Consider the following 9,706-nt stretch of genomic DNA (forward strand, 5'->3'; position numbering starts at 1 on the left):
CAATAATAATAGCCATCATTTATTGAGAGCTGGCTATGTGCAACATGCTGCTCTAAGTATTTTGCAAGCATTCACTCATTAGTTCTTTACAACAGAAAGTTATAATTCTTCCCCATTGTATTTTTTGTCTGAATACTTGAGTTTGAAGAAATTAAGTCTGCCCATCCAGAAAGCAACAGAGCTTGAATTATAACCCAGGCTTGTAAAAGTCCAGGTTTATTCTCATAACCTCTGCACTGCTCTGCTAAAAACTATTAAAAGGCCTCTGGCACTGCCATCTTCTTGCTGGTGTGTTCCCACTCCTACCCATCCCCATGGCTCATATCATCACTGGCATGTGAAGTTGCTGTTTCTAGAATGTGAGTCAGTCAAGATAGACAAGTTAATTTATTTTAGTGGATATGTGTCAGTGACACTATTTTTAAAAAGTACATCATGACAACTTGCACATAACACAAAATCTCTTCATTGGGCTGAACCAATATGACCCTGAAAGGGAGTGAGTGATCTGTCCCACTGTACATGTTCCCTCAAGAGTGCCCCTCAGCAATTGGTGGTTCACATCTGCATATTCAACAATGTAAGAAAAATTTAGCTACTTTTCTGAGAAATGGATCAAACAGTGGAGAACAGAAATATTACTTAGATAAGTCCCTTTGGGGCATAGATTGGTAAATCCTATCATTTCTTCTTGCCATATCACATACCAAAGAAAATTGATTGTGATGATTGTATTACCAAACAGTACTTTTTACATCAAGAGCACACCAACATTTAAAACTGAGCCCCATGCAAGTTCTACAACTATACTTCAGGAATTTCACAGATATGATTTAAATTCATTTTTAAATAGATTTCTTAAGGTATTTTAAGGCTTATTCTAATTAATTTTATCTAATTTATATATTTAATTATAAATAAATTAATAATTATTAATGTATTTAATTATGACTTATTTTTAAGACAATTCTAAAACATTCAAAACTAAATCAACTCAAAATTTAAATGACATTCATTAAATCTAAATTTAAATTAAATTAATTCAAAATTAAAAGCATATTCAAATTTATACACCCCCCACCACATACACACACCCATCCTAAACTCCAGGCTTATGTATCCAGCTGCCTACTTCAAATCCATCTTAACCACAATATGTCCAAAATCAAAGTCTTGATCTTCCTCACCCCTGCCTCCTGAACTTGTCTTTTCTGCAATCTTCTACAACTCCTTAAGGGAAACATCATGTTGCCAGTGTCTTAGAGTCTTTCTTGACTGATCTCTTCCCGCACATCTCAGATCCAAATCTAGCATCAAATGACCACTTCTGATGACCTCTACTGCCTTCACCCTATGCGGGTCACCATCATCTGTCATTCGGAGTGCTGCAATAGCTTCTTAATTAATCTTCCTTCATCTGACCTTTTTCCATGATAGTCCATTCTCAACTCAGCAGTCAAAATGATTCTTTTAAACCTAAGTCAGATCTTGCTTCTCAGATCGTATCTCTCAAAATCTTCCAATAGTGGGTCGTCTTCTGAGAAGGCTAAAGCCCCTTCTGTGACCTACAAGAGCTGGCCCACCCCTATCCCATTTGCCTTGCTGAATTCATCTTCCAGGGCTAGTCCATTTAGCCAGCTCCACCCCAGCCACACAGATCTCCCGGCTGTTGCTCAGACACCCAAGGCATGCTGCTGCCTTGGGGATTTTGCACTGGGGATATTTTCTGCCTGCTCTTCCCCAGAGAGGAGGTTTCTGTCACCTGTTTTGGGTCTTTGCTCAGTGAGGCCTACCCAAAACACACTATTTAAAATTGCAATCTCCCACCTCACACTCAGGAGGTAAGAGATTCTAAATCTATTCCCTGCACTATTTTTTCTCCGCAATACCACTAACTAACGGACTATATATTTAGTATGCATTTGTTCATTGTCCGTCTTCTCAACTAGAATTTAAGCTCCATGAGATAGGGGTGTAGATTTCTCTAATTCTACTATCGTACTTGCCAGCACAAGATGTGAGCATTGAGTAAATATTTGTAGATGAGGCCGGGCATGGTGGATCACACCTGTAATCCCTGCACTTTGAGAAGCTAAGGTGGGAAGACAACTTAAGCTCAGGACTTCAAGATCGGCCTGAGAAATACGGTTAGACCCCATTTCTAAAAAAGAAAGAAAGAAAGAGAGAGAGAGAGAGAGAGAGAGAGAGAGAGAGAGAGAAGGAAAGAAAGAAAGAAAGAAAGAAAGAAAGAAAGAAAGAAAGAAAGAAAGAAAGAAAGAAAGAAAGAAAGAAAGAAAGAAAAGAAAGAAAAGCAAGCAAGCATGGTACCTACACCTGTGGTCCCAGCTACCTGCGAGGCTGAGGCGGGAGAACTGCTGGGGCCCAGGAGGTCGAGGCTGCAACCAGCTGTGATTATACAACTGCACTTCAGCCTCGGTGACAAGAGTGAGACCCTGTCTCAAAAAAAAAAAAAAAAAAAAAAAAAAAGAAGGAAGGAACCACAGACAAAGAAAAAAAAAAAAGAATGTCAGATGTAAGGTTGTGAGTTTCATACTGTCATACCGGATTGGGTGGCTAGAATCCCTGTACCAAACCCTGGTTATGTAGCTAGAGGATGGGTTTAGTGTCCTCAAAAGCAGAGGGTACTTGCTGTTCATTTCCTAATTGGGCTCAGAGAGTTGAAGGACCCACCTGTCTCTAGCAACCAGAAAGGGCAGGAGCTGGAAGGTAAGCTACAAGCAATCTAGCAGAGTGGTCTTGGAAACATTTATCATGATGCTGAAGTGGTCAATTCAACAGATTGTTTCCCGTGTGCCACAGAGGGCATGATGACATGAAGAGAAGGGAGGGAGAAAATAGAAAGAAGTTGAGTCTAGAGAGGTTGTACAGGCACCACTAGAAGGAAGTGATGTGGGTGAACAAGAAACCACTGTCCAGATAAGGACATCATATCTCAGGGGAACCAGCATGAATGGTTGATAATGGGGGACCAGATGCCCCACCTCGCCTGGACACAACATAGCACCCAGGAGAAATAGACACAACCCCATGGAGAGGAGAGAAGACCCTGAATTGCCTGAAACTTATTTCAAGCCTCCTGGGTTAACAAGGGGCTTGAAATAAAAATAAGTCTAGTTAGAGAATAACAAAGATTTTTTATAGACCCTAATCATATGGAAAGTCTCATATGGGCTATGCATAAATGTTTTAGTGTCTATTGAAAGTCTGGGTCTTTTTTATCAACAATGAATATGAGCAATTCATCTGCTCTCAAATTATTTGTGATTCAATTTCAAAATAAAATTTTCCTACTACCCATCTTCAGGCTACTAGGTCAGTTTATTTGAAGTGTATCTTAAGAATTGCAAGGTAAGTTTTTTTTTTTTTAAGTCACAATCAGCAACTGCTTATCTGTGTGCACCAGGATTTTCTTGATATGTTGCACCCAAAATAAAATGTAGATATGAGCTGGATGCTGGCGTGGGTATGAGACCAGCACTGTCACCTAACTCCCATTTGACGTATTCATGTTCATCCAAACAGGTCCATGGTTCTCATCAACTGGCTTTTTAAACAGTTTGTATACATTTAGTTTTTTTAAAAATATATTTTAAATCATTTTAATATTATTTATGTATTTTATAAGTTGAAATTGTTTGAAATTTCATTTGAATAAAGGGCTGTTGCTGAAAATACTTACAAGCTACTGTTCTAGACAATATAAGGGTTTTCATTTTAAATACAATATTTTGAGAACTCTTTTGTTATATAAACTGTTTATATATCTTATTATTAATATATTCTAGCTTGAGGCTACTTACAATAACTATTTTTATCACTGCTCTGTCCAAGGAGTAGTACTAAGAATTTACATTGATTATCTCTTTTAGTAATCCTCTTGACTCTGTTAAACAAACCATACTGTTGTCTACACAATAACATTTAAGAAAACTGAGATTTAAATAACTTGCCCCAAGTCAGACAGGTAAGAACTGATGGAGCTACTTGGCTTCAAAACCTGAATCCTTACCCACTGCATAATTTTTTCAATAGACTCTCAAAACCTTATTTATGAGAAATAAGTGAAAAATTCAAAACAAGAAGCCCAAACACCAAATTAAGAATACAAGGCATGTGATATTGACTTACTTTAGAGAATACTGGCACTTTATCAAGCACTGTGAATCACACTTCAAAGGCACAAGGTTCCTCCCTCTTGGTTTGCCAGGGCTGTGGTGATCTCACAGAAGCGACTGTAGAACAAAATCTTCTCACACTTGGAAAGTAGAGGGATCTGAGTTTATCTATGGGATGACCAACAACGTAACCACATTGTTGATAAAGCATCTTGAGATATCAGAAATAAACAGAGAGCTTCTTTTATTATGACATTAGTGAGGCCAACAGAACACAGCTGGAAGAAAAAACTAGGTACTATGAAATAGGCTTGCACTAGGGTAAACTGTGGTACCCCAGATTACTCCTTCTGCACAAAGTGCCTTCTGCACAAGGGACTGTCATCTCAGGGTGGTCCACAGACCTTGGGGTTTTGTATCCATAGCACGCACTCTGTCCATGTTCTCACCTACATCTATTGCATCCCCACGTGTAACCAGCAGGTCTCAAGTTATTTTTTTTTTTATTTTTTATTTTTTTGAGACAGAGTCTCACTCTGTCACTCAGGTTGGAGTGCAATGGTGCAGTCTTGGCTAACTGCAACCTCTGCCTCCTGGGTTCAAGGGATTCTCCCAAGTTCTTTATGACAAGGAACCTTGAACAAATCCTGGAACATAGAACCTGTATGGCAGAAAAATTGATGCCATGAACTTCTGGAGGCTGATGATGGGCTTTGAATGCAGATAAGTCAGAGCAAGCCACTCTGAGCTTGCTTCTCTATTTGTAAACTGAAGATAGCATCACCTGTTACCATGAGAATTAAATGAGATATAATATGTAACTCTCTTGCTTTTCTTCCTTCTTCAGATCTCTCTCTCCCTCCCTCTCTCCAGGCTCATTTATCTATCTTCCTATTTGACATTCCACTTGGATATCTAATAGATGTTTCCAATACAATATGATTAAAAGTGAACTTCTAGCCTCCTCCCAAAATTGTGCTATATCTGTGAGCTTTACCATATCAGTTGATGGTAACTCATGACAAAAATCTTGGAGTCATTCTTATGTAAAAATAATTTCAACTTTTATTTTGGATTCAGAGGGTGCATATGCAGGTTTGTTACATGAGTAGATTGCATGACACTGAGGTTTGGGATATAAATACTCTTTCACCTACATAGTAAGCATAGTACCCAATAGGTAGTTTTTCAGCCTTTGTCCTCCTCCCTCCCTCCACCCTCAAGTCGGCCCCAATATCTATTGTTCCCCTCTTTGTTTCCATGTGTGCCAACGTGTAGCTCCCACCTATAAGTGACAAGATGAAGTATTTGGTTTTCTGTTCCTGTGTTAATTCACTTAGGATAATGGCCTCCAGCTGCATCCATATTGCTGCAAGGGACATGATCTCATTCTTTTTTATTGTTGCATAGTATCCCACACTGTATACATACCACATTTTCTTTATCCAATCCACTGTTAATGGACACCAAAGTTGATTTTATGTCTTTACTATTGTGAACAGTGCTTCAGTGAATATAAGTGTACATGCATCTTTTTGGCAGAATGATTTATTTTCCTTTGGATATATACCCAGCAATGGGATTGCTGGGTCAAATGGGAATTCTGTTTTAAGTTCTTTGAGAAATTTGGAGTTGTTCTTAACTTCTCTTTTCCTCTGACATCTTATGCGCAACCCCTCAGGGAATCTTGTCATATTTATTATTCAACACAGCATTCAAAGTCATACTTTGTGAGGCCAGGAGTGGTGGCTCACGCCTGTAACCCCAGCACTTTGGGAGGCGGAGGCAGGTGGATCACCTAAGGTCAGAAGTTCGAGACCAGCTTGGCCAACATGCCAAAACCCCATCTCTACTAAAAATACAAAAAGTAGCCAGACGTGGTTGCACACACCTGTAATCCCAGCTACGTGGAGGATGAGGCAGGAGAATTCCTTGAACCCGAGAGGCAGAGGATGCAGTGAGCTGAGATCATGCCACTATACTCCAGCCTAGACAACAGAGTGAGACTCTGTCTCAAAAAAGAAAAGTCTTTACTTTTTGAAACATGTATCAGATCATTGTCTTTATTGTGCTCAAAACCTTGCAGTACTGCTGCATTTCAGCCTCACTGAATGAATGCCCTGTAAGGCTTTATCAAATCTCTATCTCCTTTTCTCCCTTTCTCTCTCTCCCTCCCTCACTCCCACTCACACCAGTCACACTGGAAGCCTCAAGCACACACTCACCTTCGAGCTTTCATTCTGCCTATAATCTCTGCATGGAAGGCTCTTCTCTCAGCTATCTCTTGGCTGACTTCCCAACACCATCAAGTCCTTAATCAAGTATTACCTTCTCAATGAGGATCACCCTGGCCATCCTACCTAATCCCCTAAATTTATTTGCCTCTTGTTCTTCTAATCTCCATTATATTATTCTACTTTTTTTGTATTTCCACATTTACCACCTTCTAATTTGAGTGTTTATCATATTTTTTAATGTCTCATTCCCCTGCTAGAATGTAAGGTCCTAGAGGTCAGGAGTCTATGTCCGCATTGTTCTCTGATAAATGCCTAGAACCTAAAACAGAGCCCACAGAGTAGGTGTTCAACAAGTATTAGCTAAATGAATACCAAACATTTGAGACCATCCAATGAATGTTAACTCTCTTCTCCCTTCTTTGTTGCATAAAAGTTAGGTCAGTTGCCAAAGAGAGAACTAAGATATTCTTAAATCTCTCTGAGTAGCCATAAGAGCAGAATCTAGAAACCTTCTGATTCCTGAGCAAGCAAGAAGTTGGGGCAAAACAGATAGCTTAAAAATCATTAAAGGCATTTCCCATTTTAGGGAAAGGACCAAATGATAATTTGACAAGTGGTTGGGAGAAACAAGCACTCTCATATATGTTTTATGGGAGTAAAAATTAATTCAACATCTTTAAAGGAATATTTCTAATCTCTATCAAAGTTGTGAATACATATATGCCCTTTCACCCATCAATCACACATCTAGAAATTTCTCCTATAGATATACTTACATATGTAAAGATGATAAAAGGATATTCCTTTCATCACTGTTTTAATTGCTGAAGATTAGAAACAACCTAAATATCCATTGGTAGAAGACTGGTTCAAAAAGTTAGGGGACACTTGCAATGAAGTATTCTGAAGCCACCAAAGAGAGCAAGGCAGATCTGTATATACAGGTATGGAATTATGTCCTACAGAAAAAACAAGGCAAAAAGCACCATGCATCACAAGCTGCCATTTGTTTATAAAAGGGAGATATACATAGAGTATCTCTAGATAAATAAGCAAAAATACTAGTAACAGTTGTTGCCTCAGAGGAAGGAGACCCGGCTCTGGGGAGCAGTGCTGTAATGGAGGCTTCTTTTCACTGGGTACTTCCTGTGTTGTTTGAATATTTTTTCCAAATGGAAATGCTCCTTGTTCAAACAAATAACTTTTAAAAATCATATCACCCTTGAATACAAATTATTTTGGAGAACCCCTAATTCCTGGAAGTTTCTTTAGGCCAATATTTGCTTCTGAAAATTTGTCTTCTCAACTACTGTAAACCAGTCCTGTCGTGGTTCATTTCTATTACCATGGACGGCATGCTATTGGATTGGAAGTGATTTGCAATTTCCACCTTCACTGTTTTTAGTTTGCAAATGTGATGATTGATCCTGATGTTTCTGGTACTAATGATTAGTAGGATGGTCAGGATCTAGAGCACCTGGACAGATCAGGAGTCCATCTGGGACAGCAATACCAACTTCTTTTTCTAACTAGTCTTGTGAAAAAAAAAAAAAATCAAAACCTAAGTAAGTGAAGCATCATGTTTCAGAGGCACGGAAAGTACTTCTGGAGTTGAGATGTCATGGATTCTACTCTTTATTTCTGGGCCTTTGGTGATCTCACCCAAAACACCCCTGGCCCTGCCTGGATCTCTGTTTCCCTGTTTGCGAAGTAAAAAGTTTACACCTCCTAAGCTTACACAAACACTTTCAGATTATAAGCATAATTGCCAAATATAATATACACTACTATTTCTCAATCTCAACAACAAGCATGCCAAAACAGTGGCAGGAAACCACAAAGCTAAAAATGAAAAAAAAAAAAAATTAAAGGTCAAGAACTACAGCATTGACTCCTACTCAGTTTAGCCTTTGCTTTCTCAAAGGATGATGTCACTAAAACACTGTGGGCTTTGGAATCTGATAAATCAAAGTTCAGCCCACTAAGTGGCAAGTACTTTCAATCCAGGGACTGAGTATCATTAACATTGTGTCCTCGATGCCTCCAGGAGTTCCTGATTCAGCATCACTCCCCCATGGATCAGTTCTCCTCCAGCCACCTCATGCATGTTCATGACTTTCAAAACTACCTCTACATAGAGTCATAAATTCCTATCTTCAGGACAGACCTCTCATTTAAACTTCAGACATGCATATCCAAATTAGCATCCCATTTCAAGGTCTAAAATATACCTTGCAATGCATCTAAATCTGTTATAAACTTCCACCTCAAATCTGATTGCCTTTCACAGTTTCCTATATAAAGAATAGTCCTACACTTCAGCAAGCTTTGCAGGCAAAAATTCTAGTGTCATCTCTGTCACCTTTTCTTCCTCATCTGTATATCCAATCTATGAAAAACTCCTTTCAATTGGACAACCTAAACTACTTTCCAATCCATCCCTTTTTCTTCATTACACTCCCACCACTCTTCCTTTATTTACTAGTCCAGCTATTTTTGTTGATCACCATGACTGCTACGATAGCCTCCTGCTTGGCTTACCCTCTTCCACTCTTGCCTCACTTCCATCTGCTGTCTGCATTAAAATCATCATGTCATTCATAGACTGCAATCTCTTGAATGGATTCACTGTATTATTTATTTATTTATTTAGAAACAGAGTCTTACTTTGTTGCCTAGGCTGGAGTGCAGTGGTGCAATCACGGCCCACTCCAGCCTCAACCTCCCAGGCTCATGCAATCCTCCCACCTCAGCCTCCAAAGTAGCTGGGACTACACGTGTGCACCACCACACCTGGCTAATTTTTTAAAAATTTTTTGTGGAGATAGGGTTTTGCCATATTGCCCAGCCTGGTCTCAAACTCCTGAAGTCAAGTTATCTGCCTGCCTTGGCCTCCCAAAGTGCTAAGATTACAGTTGTGAGCCATCATGCCTGTTTTTAAGATAAATGGAGAAACAACCAGAAAGCCTTATATTTCTAGCCTCACACCTTATCTCTCTCTCTCACACACACACACAATCACACCCAGGCACACACACTCCAGCCACCCTGGAATCTTTCAGTCTTCCTTAGTTGCCATGCTTTTTCCTACCACAGGGCCTTTGCACTTGTGGGCCTCTCTCCGAATATGACCTTTTGCCTTTCACTTAATAAACTCTTACTCAGCCTACATATCCAGCTCAAGTATGACTTCAATAAGGAAATGTTTCCTTCCTTCCCTGAACAGGTCAAATACCCTATTATTATATACTCTCTTAATAGATGGATCTCTGTGTCCTAGCACTTTTCACATTTGCAGCTTCACATTTATTTAGGTGGTTGTTTGGTTTGCAG

At 39.3% G+C, this 9,706-nt stretch overlaps 1 long non-coding RNA gene across 3 annotated transcripts in view; it reads right to left on the reverse strand.

Annotated features, from left to right (window-relative positions):
- The window catches only part of LOC101929507 (uncharacterized), a 203,870-nt gene extending 197,801 nt beyond the window's left edge, over positions 1 to 6,069 (reverse strand). For all 3 annotated transcript variants that reach the window (XR_001746621.2, XR_001746620.2, XR_001746622.1), the window contains exons 1-2: positions 6,028 to 6,069; positions 4,150 to 4,304 (exon numbers count right to left, since the gene is read on the reverse strand). This is a non-coding gene — a long non-coding RNA (uncharacterized LOC101929507). The remainder of the gene's footprint in view (positions 1 to 4,149; positions 4,305 to 6,027) is intronic.
- Between the last annotated feature and the right edge of the window lie 3,637 nt (positions 6,070 to 9,706).

Source organism: Homo sapiens, chromosome 9, assembly GCF_000001405.40.
Source record: "Homo sapiens chromosome 9, GRCh38.p14 Primary Assembly".
In the NCBI taxonomy this organism is placed as follows: Eukaryota; Metazoa; Chordata; class Mammalia; order Primates; family Hominidae; genus Homo; species Homo sapiens.